Source organism: Homo sapiens, chromosome 10, assembly GCF_000001405.40.
Source record: "Homo sapiens chromosome 10, GRCh38.p14 Primary Assembly".
NCBI classification, from domain to species: domain Eukaryota; kingdom Metazoa; phylum Chordata; class Mammalia; order Primates; family Hominidae; genus Homo; species Homo sapiens.
Window position 1 is genome coordinate 46,780,632 of NC_000010.11, and position 19,845 is coordinate 46,800,476.

Sequence of the window (19,845 nt, forward strand, 5' to 3'; positions counted from 1 at the left end):
GGACAAGGAGGGGATAGAAGTGAATGCAAGTGATATTGCCTGGGCTAAAGAAGAAACATTTTCATTTTAAATTTCTAGTTAACCAGTGATACACACATGTTTTTAATTCTAGAAATTGGCAAATACCGAGTACTGGGATACCTAAACCGTTAATCTGAAAAAAAAAAAAATTTTAAAGTTGCACCCATTAATAAAATAGTCTGCAGCGATACTTGAGACAAAACAATCTCCAATAAGACACAATGTACCCACACAGAGAAAAAGCCAGTTACTCTTCCTTCTCTGGGTTTGGAAACCAAAGATAACTATCAAAAATATACTGTCACCTGAAAATTCTTAACTACATTCTAAGGCACATTAAGATATTTAAGTAAGGAGGCCGGATGTGGTGGCTCACGCCTATAATCCCAGCACTTTGGGAGGCCGAGCTGGGCAGATCACTTGAGGTCAGGAGTTCGAGACCAGCTTGGCCAACATGGTGAAACCCCCATCTTTACTAAGAATACAAAAATTAGCTGGGTGTGGTGGCATGCTCCTGTATTTCCTAGCTACTCACGAGGCTAAGGCGGAGGTTACAGTGAGCTGAGATTGCACTACTGCATTCCAGCCTGGGCGACGGTTTGAGACTCTGCCTCAAAAAAAAAAAAAAAAAAGTAAGACTCCAAAAAGGAAGGTACTCTACTTAATGGATTGGGAAAAATTAGCACAACTGGAGAATGTGAAGGACAAAATGATGTGACATATACATACAAAGTTCTGAAAGGCAGGGAAAGCTTAGCACTTTTTAATGCCCATTCCCATTCAAATATACTCAATTTGAAGTTATTCAATAAAGTCAAATAATAGGTAAATACATATGCATACAAGAAAATCAGAAAATCTTAAAATATTTAATCCAAAATGAAGCAAGAAGGATCTTATGTGGTCTGAATATTGTCACTTTTTATAAAACCAAGCCTTTCCTCCTTCAGCAGAGAAGGCTGAAGGTGAACAGGACCAACAGAGATCAAACAGGGGCACAGAACAGAAAGTAGGGGGAGGAAGAAGAGATGTTTTATTCCAGAAATGAAGGAAAGTAAATTATGTTTTTGTATCCCAAAGTCTTAGAGGGTTAGGCATGGTGGCTCATGCCTGTAGTCCTAGCACATTGGGAGGCTGAGGCAGGAGAACTTGAGCTCAGGTGTGCAAGACCAGCCTGGACAACAATAGTGAGATCCCATCTCTACACCCCCCACCCCCAAACACACACACACATCTTAAAACTCTGTTAGACTCCATTGATGCATTACTAGTGTTTGGGATCAACTGGGTCTTTGGTCAACTGTGCTAGTAGGAATGAAGGTAAATACTTTTAACAAAGAGCAGGAGTCCACGGCTGGCTAAGCTAGATAGTGAATGGGCTTGGTACACAGGTGTCGGCCACAGAGCTGATGCCATTAGACACATGGCCTAAAAATCAAGACCACCCTGCTGACAAAGTAATCTGTGCATCCAGCTCACCAGAGGAAACTAAAGACACACCACCCATGATGTTTATTATTTATCAATCTCAGTAAAGCTGGAGGAAGGGCTAGGGATAGAATGACGTATGTACTACAATGGGAACTTTTAAGTCATTCCTTCTATTCTGAACAGAAACCAACTAAACAGTTATTTTATGTTAACTGGTATCCAGATGTTTCCAAAGAATATTAGTGAAATGCAGACATCTGCAACTATACACAGCACAAAGCACTGATCTGATTTTTAACTTAATTACCACAGATATTCCTTAGTATGCTCAAGTCTAATGAGCAGTGCATGCTAAGTTTCTCTAGGAGAAATAAAAATCAAAAGCAAAAACTAGCTTAAGTTGCTATAGTGATGAAGAAAACAAACCAGCTCATTACTTTAAAAAAGATTCAGTGAAAACCACAATTGACTAAGCTTGAATTTTTCTTCCTTTTCCTAGCTGACTCAAAAGCAAACACACAAAAGCCTCCAGCTAGAGTCACTGTTTTTTTTTATAATTAATCATTAACAAAACATTTATGAAAATTCAAATGGTTTTAAAATTACTTGAACCTGTTTCTCTTAATAGGGTTTGATTTATTCATCAGAAATCTGATTTCCAGCTGTACTCTCTCACTTTTCAGGAACTATTTATAAAATAACCAAGAGTTCTACCACAAGCACAGAACCCCCAGAAAAGCAAAAAGGCCTCAGAACAACTCTTAATATTCATACGTTAACACTCTTGCCACTTACTCATCAGATCATATTTTTTCACTTAATATTAATGTACTTTCTAATCCACAATAATGTAGCGTAACTTAATTTAAAATGAGGAGAGGAAGGTTAGAAGCAGGGAGGAACTATTAATGACCACCCGTAAGTAATGACCATCTGAAATACTATGTCTCAGATAAAAATTCAGACATTCAGTATGGGGAAGGAGCACTGCATATAGGAGCTAAGAAAAAGTACACACTTTAGGCTGGGTGTGGTGGCTCATGCCTGTAATCCCAGCACTTTGGGAGGCTGAGGCGGGCAGATCATTTGAGGTCAGGAGTTCGAGACCAGCCTGGCCAACATGGTGAAACCCTGTCTCTACTAAACATACAAAAAAATTAGCTGGGCGTGGTGGTGCACGCCTGTAATCCCAGCTACTGGGGAGGCTGAGGCAGGAGAATTGCTTGAACCCAGGAGACAGAGGTTGCAATGAGCTGAGATTGCACCACTGCACTTCAGCCTGGGTGACAGAGTGAGACTCCATCTCAAAAAAAAAAAAAAAAAAAAAAAGAAAAATTATACTTTAATTGCTTTAGCAGCATCAATGTACTGTTCTGTATAAAGTAGGCAAATACCATCTTAGATTTTTAATTCATTGTCTAAATCTTTTATTTTAACCTGAATAAATTTTGAAAAGACAACTAAGCTTTCTGGGAAGCAAATGTTTAGCTGATATTGGAAAAATATAATGTAGTGACAGATCAAGAAAAAAAAGGAAAAATACTTTTTTTCATTAAAAATTTAAAATTATAATACATATGTATGTATTTCTGTCAAAATTGAAATACAAAAAGAAATCTGAAGACTCCCTTGACTACCACTTGTGACTCCAGTCTTCTCTAAGTGTACATCCTTCCAAATCATATTCCCTGCAGTTATATATGTACATATCCATAAAACATACAGCTTTCTTTTATGTTAGGTATTTAACTTACAGCCTGATGGATGAAAGATTATGCATTAAAAGGGGGATCTTGTTAATTTTTTTGGTAGATTCTTTTATTCTGATCTTGATTAACAGTAAACTTAGTTGCACTTTCACACCAAATACCTCTTGGAAACAGAAATGATGCTAGTTAAAATGGCGAATATAAAGTTGGACTTAGTAAAAGATAACAGTAACTTGTTATTAAAAACTTTCAAAGGGATACCTCAGGTATCCAGTTTCATGTAAATTACTTACAAGTCTAGGTGATATTTGAGATGGGTCTTAAGAGAGGAAGAGGAATCCTAGGGAGGGGGAGGCGAGGCATGGACAGGCAGAAGGACTGCACTGTGCAAGGGCATGATGGAGAGAAGTACATGCCTAGTTTTCCAGTTTTCCTGAGGATAATTTTACACCAGATCTTCTTTATTTTAAAAATCCAATCCTTTTTCTTAATAACCCCTGTCTGTTCCTGATACCACCATTTTTTTCTACCAGTCTCTCAGGCTAGAAATTTTGTAGTTATCTTTGCCTCTTCTCTCCATCCTGTAAATCCTACCTGTTGGGAATACATTACTGTCCTTTCTTCAAAATGTTTTATCTGTCTTTTCTTTTTCATTCTCTGCTATTAACTATAACTTCATTCTCAGTTCCACTGCTGCCTAGCTTTCTGTGTCCTGCTAGGTTCATCATTATCCATCCAACAAACATAAAAGGAAAACTGTTTCTACTCACACACTTCTGAAACAAAATGTGTGGGTTTTCCACACTAAGCAGTTCTCCAGTTCTCTCTGCAGATACAAACCGGGTGTCCTGCAATTCACTTCTGAATTGCCATCAACTAAGATCATAAGACTGCTGAGCAGTTGGTTTGAGAGGGAAGATTCTGAGTTCTGTAGGGCATATCACTTTGGAAATGTCCATTAAACATCCAAATGGATATCTCATGGAGGCAGCTGGAGTTCAGGTTAGAGGTCTGAGTCACTGATAAAACTTTGGGAGTTGTTGGCAAATGATAGCGTATTGGTCAGAGTCCGATTAGGAAAGAGAAGCCACACAGTCATTTGAACAGGAAAAGTGTACATAGGGAATTGTTAATTGCAACAGGGAAGTGGAGTAACCAGGCACAGACTAGTAGGAAGTATAGGAGGAGCAGCTACTAGTCTAGGGCTCAGGTAGAGAACTCAGGAGAGTCCTCCCCTCTTAGTGCCCTGCCCCTGCACCTCATCAGAGGAACCCAGCCATGGCCCTCTGCTTGTCAGGAGAGTCACCGATGCTATACCACTGGAACTTACTAGAAATACTTCCTTAGGTGCTGGGGAAAGGAGCAGTGTCTCAGAAGAGTTACTCTACAATAAAACTGCCTGGAGCTGGTGAGAGGAGTGGGACCTGCTGGGCACTGGCCACTGTGTCCCTGGTGAAGTCAACCGCCTGCAGGAGCCAGGCGAGGGAGCATAGGAGAACCAGTAGCAAAGACAGCTTTCACCTACAAAGTCTCTCCATTGCTCTAGATAGGAGGTGGTGGTCAGAGTGGGATACTGTGAGGGTTGCAGTCCTTGGACCTGACAAGGTCTAAGGTCTGATCATGGAGGGAGGGGGAAGCTGAGGTAGGGCAGAGGACAAGAATGGGCTTCATGAGACCAAAAGGATGTTAGAAGGATTATTTACCCAGATACTGACATCTCCAAGAAGTAAGAGGCCTAGTGTGAAGAAGTTACAACATCCTAAGCTCTTCAGGGATAAGGGAAGCATGCGCCACGTAGGTAGCCTCCCTAGTGCAGCACCCAGTATATAGCCTACGCAGAGTGAATACCTGGGGGCTGCTGGGGGTGATAACAAGGTCACTGTGACAGGACCTGAAGCCTGGGGGTCTCGGCGACAGGAGTGGGCCTAGTTTTTTGATGTAGAATTGAGCCTTGCATGCACCGGTGGGATCATATTGAAAAGAAACCCTCCAAGACTAGAGGAAGATGCATCCTCTGACAATGTAGTCTCTGTAGGCGTCCCAAGTAGCTGGGCTGGGGATTAGATGGGCTCCAAGGCATTTCCTCAGGTGGCAATGGGTGGATCCCTGGGAAGGCAAAGCTGTGCAGGAAGAAAATGGCAAGATGCTACCTTCCCTCAGGGAAAACCCCTTTCCCGGGAGCAGGGAAGGCGAGGCAGTTTAGGCTGGGTCAGTTTGTCCCTGCCCTCAGAGTCTGTTGGTCCCGGAAAAAGAGGGCCTTATTTTATTTATTTATTTTTCTTTGAGACAGTGTCTTGCTCTGTCGCCCAGGCTGGAGTGCAGTGGCTCGATCTCAGCTCACTACAACTTCTGCCTCCCAGGCTCAAGCGATCGTCCCGCCTCAGCCTCCAGAGTAGCTGGGACCACAGGGACCACAGGCGCCCCGCCACGACGCTGGCTTTATTTTTATTTATTTATGTATTTATTTATTTTTTGAGAGACGTAGCCTCCCTATGTTGCCCAGATTGGTCTTGAACTCCTGGGCTCAAGCAATCCTCCTGCCTCGGCCTCCCAAAGGGCTGGGATTACAGGCGTGATCCACCGCTTCTGGCCAAAAGAGGGCTATAGGGCACCCCCAGAACGTGAGATCTCCCTCGTCTGTCATCTTTACAGAGGAGGAAGTGGACTCCCAATCCAGCCATAGTCCATTCGCCCCGGGCACGGTGACTCCGGGGCGGCCAGAACCAAATGTGTCTCCTGGCTTTTGCACGGCATCAAGTAACCCGCGCCAGGCCGCACAGCTGCCCTGGCCTTCAGCAAGGACTCCGCGAGCGAGGTGCAAGCTGCTGGGGAGTGCCACAGCAGGAGCTGAGGCAGCGGATTCCGAGGGCGGGGTGGGGCTGAATCGGGAGGGACGCGGACCCGGTGGAACGCACTGCGCAGACGGCGCCGGCGCCAGCACTCGGCCGTTGACGAGTCTTTCTTCCAGCTGTCCCCTGCAAGTCGTCCAGGCGGCGGTCCCTTTTTTTCTGCCTTTTTGTTTACCTCCGGCGAGTCGGCGCGAGGGTGAATTTCCGTTTCCGGCGGTGTCCAAGCGGACCTAAGGAGTCGCAGTTGTGAACAGGTTAGGTGCCGCGGGCTGGGGTAGGCTGGGAAGATCGCGAGTCGTGCGCGTGGGAAGGTACTCCCCCGGTCCTCCGGGTCATCTTTGCTCCCCAGGAGCGGCATATTTCGCATCTGCCTGAGGTGTGCCCGAGGGTCGTTGGGAGAGTGACGGGATGAATCCCTGCAGAGAGCCCGGACTGGGAGGGAAGGTGTCGGGGAGACGTCGTTTCCTGGCGACGTGGTCCCGGCAGGCGACTTAGACCTGAGCCGAATCTGTTGACCCCAAATTGTGCTTTTCCCACCAAGAAGAAAAGGGAGAGAAACAGTACAAGTTCGGCAGTAAAATATAGTAGACAAGCAATATAACCTCTGAAATCACACAGCTATTCAGTTTCAAAGCGTTCCTAGTGCCCAGCTCTCCTAACTCCCGGCCAGTGTTCCTTGACATATGGTGATATATAAAGACTTTGTTTCCGCTCGTGTGTGTGTCTGTGGGAAGCCTTTGACTCACTTCTGTGCTCCAGTAGCACCCTCTGCAGCCTTGCAATGTAGCTCTTATTGCATGGCACGGAAGATACTAGTTTGGATTTCCTCTGTCAATCAGACCATAGCTATATCCATTTTCTGGCACAGTGGCTAGCACATCATAGACAGACACAAACGTTTATTAAACGGAATGAATACAGGACCTTAACTGAATGAAATGGCACCCTGCCCCGCTTTTTCTCAATCAAGCTGTCAGATTTTATGCAGCCCGATATTCCAAAAAAACTCACAGATTCAGTGACTACCAATTTATTGGCCACAGATTCCCAGGTACCTCAGAAATCACTGGAAGGGTCTCTGTAAGTCCATGGGGCCTCCAGGCATCATCTAGAACCAGTCATATCTCACACATACAGATATTGCTATTTTTCAATTGTATGTAGATGAGCTGTAATTTAGAAGTTTTAGAGTCAACAGGTACTAAAAGTAATACTGCGATCCTATTGGAAGTTCATAAAAACGTTTTAAATTTTTTATTGAAATTTAAGTTCTGGTTTAAGTTAGGAAACCACTTCGTTAGTCCAGTCGATGTCTAGGTCTGAGCTGTCCAGTATGGTAGCCACATGTGACTATTTACAGTTAGAATGAAATTAATTAAGAATTCATTTTTTCAGTTTCTCTGAAGTACATTTTAAGTAACCACATGTGGCTAATGGCTAAATGGCTGAAAAGTACAGATATAGAATATTTCCATCCTTGCAGAAATAGGTACTGGTGATGTTGACACTTGAGACGAGTAAAAAGTAACTTAACCATAGAATGTAACCTTAGCAGAGGTAACTCATCTAATTTATAGCATAACAGAGAGAAATGAAATTGGGGATGGTTAAGCAGTTTCTACCCTTGTTCAGTGAACAAATACATCATGTCTTCATAAAGAAATAAATGAAATTTAATGTTTTTCCCTGGGTATTGCCTGGATTGTAAAATGCTTCTCCCACCTCCTTACCCCAACCTTCTTCCTTGTAGGTTAGAGTTACTTGTTATTGGTAAATAGCCACTATGGAGACTAAGGACCAGAAGAAACACAGAAAGAAAAACAGTGGACCCAAAGCTGCAAAGAAAAAGAAGTGGCATCTGCAGGATCTCCAGCTAGGAGACGAAGAAAATGCCCAGAAGAGAAATGCCAATGCTTTTGCAGTTCAGTCTGCTGTGTGGATGTCTCGATCCTTTCACAGGTGTGTTTAGCTACAGTCTGATGGTTCTTCCATTGAATCTTTTTAAATAGTTAGGAGCCTCTCACAGGTGACATTTGGATTCACAAGTCTAGTCCAGCTCCAAAGGACATGGAGATGCATGCTGTGTGGCTTTTACTAAAACGTGAGAGGACTTGCCATAGAAGCTGCCTTGCCTCCAGCATCTGCACACTGGTTGGTGTTTCTTGCCCAAGATACAAGAATTTATAGAATTTGATTCTTCCTAAACTTTAAACTGTTTCTATGGTGATAAGTGTGCTTTTTCCCTCTGGATATGTTTTACAAAGTTGTAATATAAAATACAAAAATTACAATATGTAATACTAACATAGTTTTATTTAGTGAGTCCTTATGATATTCTTAGCAGTGTACTTTAAACGTTATTCAACTAAATCCTTCCAGCAGCCTTACCAGAGTAGGAATCATTCTTGCCCTCATTTTATGGACAAGAAAACTGAGGTCAAGAAAACAAGTTACCTCCCATCATACAACCAGTAAGTCGGAGAGCCAAATTTAACTCCAGAACCTCTGCTCTTATCTGTTATGATGCACTGCCTCAGTATTTACCTTTTGGTTTTTAAAAAACTATAAAAATCACTCATAAAACAGTCAGATTTAAGGAGTGTTTAATTTTCAACTCTATACTATTGAAGTCATCTTGTTACATCTTTACTGAACAGCAATTGATTTGGATAGGGGTCAGAAGTTAATAATTGACAAGTTACTTATATTTTTATATTGTCTGTTGTACTCTCTATAAAATATACTAAAGTACTCATATCTGTAATTATACTAAAAAAAAGTCTACTTATAAGGTTGATACCTTTTACTCTATTTTAAAAGTGAGTTTACTTTTTTTTTCTTTTTTAAATAAATAGGACTCTGGATTTGAAGACACAAAAGCATCATATTCCAGTGGTTGATGGAACTCCACTAGAGCCGCCACCAATAGCGGTAGTGGTGACGGGGCCTCCAAAGTTGGAAAGAGCACTTTGATATAATGCCTCATTCGGAACTTCACCTGGCAGAAGTTCACCGAGATCAGAGGCCCTGTGACGATCGTGTCAGGTAGGAGATGCCGCCACAGACACAGACTTGGTGTGGCTGTTGTCATCTGAGGGACATGCGTGTGTTTGTTGTTTTCTTGAGTGGAACATGTTAAATATTGTCATATCATGTTACCTCTCTCTTACTTTTACTAAGTTAGCTATAACTTCATAAAAGGATAAGTTCCCAGAGATAAGGATGTGATACATACCTTATCCTGACTGCTTTATGGCTTTGCCAAGCATGTTCCTTGGAAGGGCCTGACAGGCCTGGTCACTGCGAACACACCATTTAACAGACAGCACGTACCTCCTATGTGCCAGGTGCACATGCTTGCCCTTATGAAGCCACATGCTGGTGGAAGTGCGCGTTTTCTCTTTTTCCTATGAGAATTTGTCTGCTTTGGGAGATGGTGACCTTTCCAAGTTTGAGGGAAGATGAAACAAACATCCAGTGGTAGAATGGCAATGTACACTCTGAAATCTCTTATTATTGCAGTAATATAGTTGGATTGAGGCTTTTCTTTATCTTTGGCGCATCCATATTTTATTTTCCTTTTTTTGAGACAGAGTCTTGCTCTGTGGCACAGGCTGGAATGCAGTGGTGTGATTACAGCTCACTGCAGCCTTAACCTCCCAGGCTCAAGCAATCCTTCTACCTTAGCCTCCTGTGAGTAGTGTATGCCACCATGCCTGGCTAATTTTTCTTTTTTTTCCTTTTTTTAAATTTTTATGTTTTTGTAGAGATGGGATTTCCCCATGTGGCCCAGGCTAGTCTCAAAACTCCTGGGCTCAAGGGATCCACCTGCCCTGGTCTCCCAAGGTGCCAGGACTACAGGCATGAGCCACTGTGCCCAGCCAATATTTTCTTGATCATTTTCTTATTACCTTAATTTAGAAATAATTATCATTGTAAATATTCTGTTGCATTATGTTTGAGGATGTTTTTAGCGATAGTGGGAATACAGGAAATTTTGATAGAGGTGAAGACATTGGCCTGCAGCTGAACAGCAAGATCATGGTTATCGTGGAGCCTGTCTAGTCAGAATTTTCCCTGTTTTGAGCACTTTTATTCATCTGGGTAGGCTTTTGATATTATCTAAATTTAGAACACAGGAAGAAAAACAGGATGGAATTTATTTTACCAGTTTTTGCCTATAAAAATGAACTTCTGGTACACTCCTGTAAACGTATGTGGTGTTTTACTGGATGCAGTTAAAAAATGAAAATTAAGAGTTGATGGTTAGAGTTTTTTCAGGGTCTTTTTAAAGTAAAATTTTCATCTTTTCACTTATAGGTAAAAAGCGCAGACTCACCATTATTGAATGTGGGTGTGACATTAACATGATGATTGATCTGGCTAAAGTAGCAGATCTGGTAAGTGAGCAGGGGCAGCCTGGGGTGCTGATGGAGACTTACAGCATTGTGATAGGTTATTTACCCCGTGATGAAGGGAAGAGAGTTTTGTGATTATTAAAAGGATCATGGTCATTATCAGGGATATAGTAGATGTGATTGAATTGATGATGATAATAATAATAGTAATAAATGTTGTCATATTAATAATACAAATGGAATGTGCACAATGAAATGTGTTCCAAAATCTAAAAGCAGATCACAGGATGGAGAAAACCTTTAATGAACACAGCTAATAAGAGCTCATTTACATGCATACATATATATGTACAAATATATCATAGTAAGTACCATTTCTTCTTGGACCCTTCCTGGCACTGTGCTAACTGCTTTCTACAAATTTAGCTTACATACACCCTTGAGGTGAGTAGGTATTATCTATAGTTTACATAAGATGAAATAGAGCCTCCCAGCAGTTAAGTAACTTGTGTGAAGATGGGACCCTTGTTCCTGATGGTTCTAGAACCTTCATCCTTAATGATAATGCTAAAGTAAGTACATGAATTGCCTGAAGAAGTGGTCAGAGTTTATCAATAGAAAATTCAGGCAGTACTCAGCGTGTGGAAAATGTACATGCTCTTGCATTTATGGAAATGATAATGTTCACTATTTCTGATATTCTATGAACTATCTTTTACATTGGCAAAAAAAAAAAAAAAAAAAAAAAAGGCCAGGCACAGTGGCTCATGCCTGTAATCCCAGCACTTTGGGAGACCGAAGTGGGCGAATCACCTGAGGTCGGGAGTTTGAGACCAGCCTGACCAACATGCAGAAACCCCGTCTCTACTAAAAATACAAAATTAGCCGGGTGAGGTGGTGCATGCCTGTAATCCCAGTTACTTAGGAGGCTGAGGCAGGAGAATCGCTTCAACCCAGGAGATGGAGGTTGCGGTGAGGCGAGATCACGCCATTGCACTCTAGCCTGGGCAACAAGAGTGAAATTCTGTCTCAAAAAAAAAAAAAATTAGCAAAAAAATAAGCCATATTGATTAGGAAGTGTGGGGTGACAGATACCTTGTTTTTTTCATTTTTATTTAGTTTTTTCTAGAGCTACAGATTTTATACTTTGGCCTAGGAAGACTCCTAAAATATAAAGGAAAAAGTAATACAGATTTTAAAGTTGTGCCATTGTAATGTCAGAAAACTAAATAACATTCAAATTTTGAACATGTAATGCTACTATTAGTAAAAATAAGTGTAATTAATGTAAAGTTGTGTAACGATTACTAAACTTGTATACTTGAAATGATTGAATAGTTCCTAGAAGTCATTTGTTTCTCTTTTATTTAAAATGTAGCAAGTTTCTAATTTTAAATACATACATATTAAGAGATGCATTTACATTTTTTTATTTTTAGTTATTATGGATACATAATAGTTGTACATATTTATGGGGTACATGTAGTATTTTGATAGAAGCATACAATGTGTGATGATCAAATCAGGGTAATTCAGAGATCCGTCACTTCAAACATTTATCATTTATTTGTGTTAGGAACATTTTAATTTCATTCTTTTAGTTATTCTGAATTATATAATAAATTATAGTCACCCTATTGTGCTGTTGGACACTAGAATTTATTCTATCTAACTGTGTTTTTGTACCTGTTAACCTTTCCCTCTTTGTCCCTCCCTCCCTGCTCCCCTTCCCAGCCTCTTAACCATCATTGAGAGAGATGCCTATGTAAATCTTAAGATTTTCAAAAGGAGCACACACATTTGGTAAAGCACTCTAACTGTAATGCACGGTACACACAATGCGCATTTTCTCTTTCCTTGCTGTAACCTCTGGTCTCTCAGGTCCCTGCAGACCTTTATATATATGTATATGTATATGTATATCCTTCCAGATACATATAAACACACATGCCACCCTTTAAAAACACAAACGGTAGCTTATTTTATACACTGTTCTATGCTTTGCTCTTTTCATGTAATATACTTGAAGGTATATAATCAGTAAGTACTGTAGCTCTGCCTCCTTCTTTTTAATATAACATTCCATTCTGTGGATGCACCATAATTTATTTAGTCTAGCTTATGTTGATTGCTCTGCTCTGGGTTGTCAAAGCCTCCTGAGTACAGCAGAGGCACACACAATACGTGGATTTGGGTGTGTACGTGCGTGTGTGGATTAGGGGAGTGACACTGGCTTAGATGGCAAAGATTGGCAGCTGAGGGACTGTTTGCTCCCTTTTATTCCTGACCCTACAACCAGCTGCTTGTCCCTTGGCACTCTGGCATCAGATGTGGTGTGAGGATATTCCACCTGTTCTTTGAGCTGGTCCAGTGTTGCTGGAGAGCTCTGCTTGCTGCCTTGGTCTGCAGTGGCAGCTGTGCTTTCCTACAAGCCCAACTTCATATATTCTGTGGTTTTGGGTTTTGATGTTTCCTAGTTTAATCAAGGATGGGCATTTCTGTTTCCATTTTGTGTTATTTTTAGTTATCCATGGAAAGATACAAACAGAACTATCTTTAATATTAAAATTACAAGTTTCCAGGAATCAGTTCTGAAATTATTTTGCATCTTTGAAGTGTCTTAAATTTTAAAAATTGGTCTTGGCCAGGTGCGGTGGCTCACGCCTGTAATCCCAGCACTTCGGAGGCCAAGGCAGGCAGATCACGGGGTCAGGAGATCGAGACCATCCTGGTGAACACTGTGAAACCCCGTCTCTACTAAAAAAATACAAAAAAACTAGCCGGGTGTGGTGGTGGGTGCCTGTAGTCCCAGCTACTCAGGAGGCTGAGGCAGAAGAATGGCATGAATCCGGGGGGCGGAGCTTGCGCTGAGCCGAGATCAAGCCACTGCACTCCAGCCTGGGCAACAGAGCGAGACTCTGTCTCAAAAAAAAAAAAAAAAAAAAAATTGGTCTTATCTGCTTATATTTTCTTATAGACTACCATTCATCATAATCTTTCTGTTTTTTTACTTAATTCTAAACTGGTAGCTATTTCAAATATTTCTGAGCAATTGAGTTATACAAATTAACATACAAGTTAGAGGTTTCCATTGTATACTTCCCAGCAAAAAAACAGATTTTTTTTTTTTTTTTCTGTGAGGAGATTGAAAGAAGGGGTTGGTTTTCTGTACGTATTTAATATATTTCATTGATTATCACTTTCTTCCCATTCTTTGGATGTCAGAGACCTGTTATTTGGCTTAAAAATACATTACAGAAAACTTCATTTCTTTAAATTAGGATTTCTTAGGTAAGGGCCAGGTTAGACCCAGCCTTTTCTGAGTTACTTCTCATGCATTAGAATTCTTAAAATGGATGTTTATATCCTAGTGGCCTTGTCTTATGGTTGCCTTTTAGAGCAAGTCAGAGGGTGGTGGTTTCTCTGTCTGGGTGATGCCTGTGTAGTCATTTGATTTAGTCTGGAGTGGGACTTTTCTGTCGAGGGCCAGATAGTGAATATTTTCAGCTTTGTGGATCATATCTTCTGCAGCTACTTAGCTCTGCAGTTGTAGTGCACAGGCGGCCATAGACAATATGTAAATGAATTAATGTGGCTATGTTCCAATAAAACTTTAGTTACAAACACAGGTGATGGGCTGGATTTGGCCCGTGGGCCAGTTGCCAACCCCTAGTGTAGGTGGTCTGTTTTGGTAGTTTCTTCGAGAAATAATGTGTTGTGCTTGTAGGTACTGATGCTTATAGATGCCAGCTTTGGGTTTGAAATGGAAATGTTTGAGTTTCTAAACATCTGTCAAGCACATGGCTTTCCTAAAATTCTGGGAGTTCTCACCCACCTCGACTCCTTCAAGCATAACAAGCAACTGAAGAAGACAAAGAAGTGATTAAAACACAGGTTCTGGACAGAAGTTTACCAGGTAGGAAGAGAAATAATTGTTAGAAACTAACAGTATAATCTTTTAAAAACAGACTAAAGAGGCCAGGCACAGTGGCTCACGCCTGTAATCCCAGCACTTTGGGAGGCAGAGTCAGGTGGATCACTTGAGGCCAGGAGTTTTGAGCTCAGGGCAATATGGCCAAACCCTGTCTCTACTCAAAAGGCAAAAATTAGTCGGGTGTGGTGGCATGCATCTGTAATCCCAGCTATTAGGGAGGCTGAGACGTGAGAATTGCTCAAAGCTGGGAGGCAGAGGGTGGAGTGAGCTGAGAGTGCACCACTGCACTCCAGCCTGGGTGACAGAGTGAGACTCCATCTCAAACAAACAAACAAACAAAAAGACTGAAGAGACATTACTAAACGTCTCTCTAGGAATTGCCTCCTGAATTCCCTTTGTGTATGTGTTCCCAGTCTCTGGAAGGTTTCCCTCAAGAGAGTGGTTATTCTGGGCCTCTTGGTGTATCTCATTTGTCTCCGTACCTGCTGCACCAGGCAATGTCTGGGTGTTTTGGAGTCGGGACTTAATAGAGTACATCAGAAGTTTCTCCCAGTTACAGGACCAGGCACTGCCCCTTCCTTTCCATACTGCTGTGGTCCATCGGCCACAGAACCGTTTCTGTGCTCAGAGGCCTCACCTCCCTCTCCTCACCATACTTAGATGGATGCCCCGGCTTGGTTGCAGAGCAGTCTGCCTCTGTGTGGTTCTAATAAGTCCTGAAAGAATCCAGCAAGGCTCTGGAAGCCTCAGGACAGTGGCTTTGCTGGAAGTCTCCCTTCTTAGGATTGCTTCTTGTTTAGAGCTTTTATTTTGTTGCAGTATTGACGAGAATTTAATTGAAATTTAATTTTTAATTTTCCTTTAATGTTTAGGTTGCCAAACTGTTCTACCTTTCTGGAATGGTGCATGGAGAATATCAAAACCAAGAAATCCACAATCTGGGCCATTTTATTACAGTTATGAAGTTTAGGCCTCTCATGGCAAACTTTTCACCCTTATATCCTGGCAGACAGTTAAAAGGTGATTGTAAACTTTTTCTTCCTGGGCCATATATTTCAAAGCTAAAAAGGCTAGAAAAAGAACAGTGATAGGATTTATTTTGTGCCTATTTGAATAGTGGGGGTAGAAGTGTAGTTGATGGAAAATGTCTACTTATATCATTGCTCAAAGATGCTGTGCCTTTGGGAGTAAATTAATTATGAGATGTTTAGGAAAATGGGAGGACTTGGAAGCATTTAAGACTACAGGATGTGGCCCCATCCTACGTTCAGCCTCAGTTTTCAGTGATGCTGCCTTCATGCCCGGGTGCTGGAGTCCTTCGTGCATGCCTTCAGTTTCCTTCCTTTGTGCTCTTCTTTGTGCTGTGATTTTCTCAGCCTGGAATACCCTTTTTCCACCTGCCAGAATCCAAGCCACAGTACAAATCCCAGAGCACAGGCTCACCCTCTTCGAGAAATGGATTTTCTGAATGTGTTCTTCACTCTTCCCTGACCCCAGGTGGACGCCATCTCCCATCTGGTGTCTTATGGAATGAATGTCACTTTCAGCCTAGAGACACAGTTGTGTGCCTGCCCCTTTTCCTCTTCTGGATGGTGAACGGTGCTTCCTTATTTCTGCATTTTCTAGTTCCTAAGTGATGTGCTTAATGGACAAGAGTGTGATGAGTCATTGACACATGAAAGGAGGTATAGGAACTTTGGCATTCATTTCTGCTGTATGATTGAGTTTATTTTTCTAGGATGGAAGATTTGACAAACCCGGAGGATATCCAAACAAACATCAAATGTGACCTGCAGGTGTCACTTTATGGTTATTTAAGAGGAGCACACTTGAAAAATAAAAGCCAAATTCACATGCCAGGTATTCTCTTGCTGTAGAACATACGAGAATTGCACATAGGATTCTTGGGATGGCTTCATTTCTCAGGAAAAGTGAAAAATGACCAAACAAGGGAAGATGGCCTTGCTGGAGGTTTTAAAAGTAAGCCAGCTATGTGTAGGCCTGCAAAGGTGTTACCGAATCCCTCTTCTCTGACCTCTTGTAGCTAGAGGGCCACTGTTCCAGTGTGGCACAATGCCCTTCTTTAGGGTCATGGGTTAAGCCCTTGGACTGTGGATCGTTTTTAACCCCCCAGTCAACAGTAGATACTTACTGACTTCTTGTCAGTTGAAGCTGGCTTTTTGGGTCCTGTCTTCCAGGGGTAGAACATTTTGCCATGAGTGACATCAGTTTCCTCCCAGACCCTTGTGTTCTTCCTGAATAACAAAAGAAGTGCTGTTTAAATAAGAAGGAGCAGCTGGTTTATGCGCCTGTTTCTGGAGTTGAGGGTGTGCTGTATGACAAAGACGCTGTCTGTGTTGACCTTGGTGGCAGCCACGGTTTTCAGGCATCAGTGAGGCAGGAGTCTTTGCTCTGAACTCTCATTATTCTTTCCTAATCTATTTCTTAATCAAAAAAAGTAATGTACTCAGCTTTTATTTATTGAAGATTTTTCTCTTGTACTTATAATAAAGGCCCAAATGCATATTGTCAATATGTAGAATAAAAAGAATACCATTTTTTCATTGTACCAAGCAGAAGAGTCCTGTCCTCCATGCCTCCTTGATCCGTGGCCCCAGCGCGGGCACTGCTGCCAGTGTGGCACCTGCACGGCTTATTTCCGTTTCTACAAAATCAGTGTGCTTTCCAGCTCTCGTTTGTCTTTTTCTTTTTCTCAATCACAGTGGTCTCCTCATTATTTTAAAGTGGATTTCCAATATTTATTTCTTAGTTCTGTAGTTGAATTTTATTGGGTTAAAAGCAGGGTTACTTAAAAATGTTAGAAAAGCTAGCACTGTTGTAGCACTGGAACTGAGGTTTTTCTAGCTAGGTGTTTAGGTTATCAGGTTATATACTCACTGAGCTTTGGACAAGTTTAATGGAGATGGGGATCCATTTCAAGCTTTGTTATAAGGATTTTCTTCTCTGGTGTTTGTGGCATTAAGAAAGGTTCTCAGGAAATGTGTCTAAGATAATTTTGAGAAACTGAGTGAAACCAGTGTCTCTCCAGGATCTTTGTGCTTTCCTCACGTGCCCTTTCTTGGTGGCCTTGATAGGACAAGGTGGGGCTCACCCATGAGCTGGTCCAGAGTCTCATCTCCACCTACTCCACCATTGATGCCAAGATGGCTTCAAGTCGAGTGATGCTGCTTTCCAATTCCAAACCACTTGGGTCAGAGGCTATAGATAATCAAGGGTAAGTCTGCTTTTTTTCTATTTTTAATAAAAAGATATATTACAGAAGATCGTATCACCCATAATTCTGCCATCATAACACATTTTGGTGGGATTCATTCTATGTCGTTTTGTTTTTCTTTGTGTGTGCATGTGTCTCTGAGGGCTCTTCACTTACCTGACATTACAAGGGAGTCTTATCTTGAAAAAAATACAGGATGCATTTTTCAACAGACTTCAAATATTCCTCAAATACCACGCCATCTTCCATAGGTTGCTTTTTTGGTTTTTCAGAGACCTGAGGCCACTTGGCTTTCTTTTGATGGCCGAAACACTAGAGCAGAGTCAGGGAGTTTGTGGCTGTCCAGAAGCCACATGCCTTGTCTCTGAAAGTTTTATTTAGATTATGTTGTATTATCTCCCATGGGTAGGTTTCCACTAATGTGTGGCTTATGTGAATTATTTTTCAGTCTGGGTTGGGAATTTGTATACCTTTATGCTTAGTGGATGTTTGCAAAACACTGATTTTGTTGTATTGATTTATGACTTCCAGTAAAATTTATCTGAAAATTTTGAGATAGTGTAGTATATAATTTGTTACAATGTGCATAAACTACCTACCACAGTGCCTGACATAATGAGTGTTATTAGCTGTTTTCATTTTTGCGTATCCTTCTAGACATCCTTGTCTACAAGAATACTCTCTTCTAATATAGCTACAGGTAAAATACGTAATTTTATTTCTATATTCTGAGGATTTTTTTTCTATACAGTCTTTATGTAATCATGATTTTATTGTTACCAGTGTTTTTTTGTTATTGTGGTTTCTTTGTTTTTGTTTTTGTTTTTGTTTTGAGATAAGGTCTCACTTTGTCTCCCAGGCTGGAGTGCAGTGGCGTGATCTTGGCTCACTGCAGCCTTGAACTCCCAGGCTCAAGTGATCCTCCTGCTTCAGCCCCGCAAGTAGCTAGGACTACAGGAGTGCACCGCCACTCCCGGCTAATTTTTTTTGTTCTGTTCTAGGGACGAGTTCTCACTATGTTGCCTAGGCTGGTCTCGAACTCCTGGGCTCAAGCAATCCTCCCGACTTGGCCTCCCAAAATCCTGGGATTACATATGTGAGCCACTATGCCTGGCCTGTTATTCCTGTATTCTAACTTATCCATCCCTTATGGTATGATTTTTAGTTTTTTCTAATTTATGTTTTCATACTTTTATCTATTGTGCTACGTTAAAAAGCTTCATATAGTTTTTTTAGCTTAGAAATTAATCAGCTTTCCAGAAGATCTATAAAACCCTAACTTCCCTTTTGAGCAATTTTTTTCTAAAATTAGATTTTTTTTTTTAAGGGTTATTCCTTTATTCTCTCTATAAGTTCTTTTGAAGTGTGGTGTTAGGGAACCATGCCTCAGTTTCCTTATTAACTCTTCCGGTGTTTATCAGATCATTTTTTCCCTACGCTATGTCATCTTAAACATCTTAAGCAATTCATTGACATTTTCTGTTTCTTTGTATTTTCATTGACTATATTTCCAGTTCTAGATTAGCTGATTAATGTACAAATTGAATTATTTTGCATATCCTTGGTGATATAGGCTGTTGATGCCAAAGGAGGAAAAACAAATAGACTTGAAAACTGGTCGAATGCGTCAGAAAGCCATTTTTGGAGATGATTCTGTGCGAACGTCTTCTCTCCTTTCTTGATCTCTTAATTTTTTTTTCTTATCCAAATATATACCAGCTGATTTTGTTTCTAGAAGATCCAAGATCTTTGGTTTAGAGATATATTCTCTTAATGTTAACTGGTATTAGAATACTGTATTTTCTGTATTTTATTTCAATGCATTTTAAAATAGAAATGATTGTATTTTCTTTTAACTTGTGAAGTAGAGCATGGCATACAAATTTTGGAATCTCATTATTTCAACAAATTTCCTTCTTAGTGTGCAAGTTGTATTCAGCACATAAAGTCCATCCAGCTTTGTTGTAGATGCAGTGTGATTATTACATGTTGATAAGGTGTGAATTGGAGATGGGATCCAAAAGTACTGTACTTATTGTAATTTTTAAGCTAATTGTAGATTTGGTGGTGAATATTTTACTACTGCAAAATGAAAACAGCATTTCATCAGAAGTTGTTTTATGGTCTTTCAGGCATTTTATTTTATATCTTTGGTGCTTTTTGCCCATGAAGTATCTCTTTTGTGTGTTTGTGTGTATGTGTACTGATTTGCTGTAAATTTCACAGTGCTCATTGTCAGGGATCATCAGAATCAGGCCTAGGCAGAGAGCTGAGCAGTACTCTCAGTATGTCTCTGTGTCCTGGTTGC

At 41.0% G+C, this 19,845-nt stretch overlaps 2 pseudogenes across 2 annotated transcripts in view; one reads left to right on the forward strand and one right to left on the reverse strand.

Moving 5' to 3' along the window:
• The window catches only part of GLUD1P2 (glutamate dehydrogenase 1 pseudogene 2), a 27,748-nt pseudogene extending 21,609 nt beyond the window's left edge, over positions 1-6,139 (reverse strand). Inside the window, exon 1 of the transcript NR_111968.1 lies at positions 6,077-6,139. The product of NR_111968.1 is annotated as a glutamate dehydrogenase 1 pseudogene 2 (transcript). The remainder of the gene's footprint in view (positions 1-6,076) is intronic.
• Positions 6,102-19,845, forward strand: part of BMS1P1 (BMS1 pseudogene 1) — a 25,257-nt pseudogene continuing 11,513 nt past the window's right edge. The window contains exons 1-8 of the transcript NR_003611.2: positions 6,102-6,264; positions 7,761-7,969; positions 8,866-9,055; positions 10,331-10,410; positions 14,096-14,284; positions 15,175-15,322; positions 16,041-16,162; positions 17,398-17,537. The product of NR_003611.2 is annotated as a BMS1 pseudogene 1 (transcript). The remainder of the gene's footprint in view (positions 6,265-7,760; positions 7,970-8,865; positions 9,056-10,330; positions 10,411-14,095; positions 14,285-15,174; positions 15,323-16,040; positions 16,163-17,397; positions 17,538-19,845) is intronic.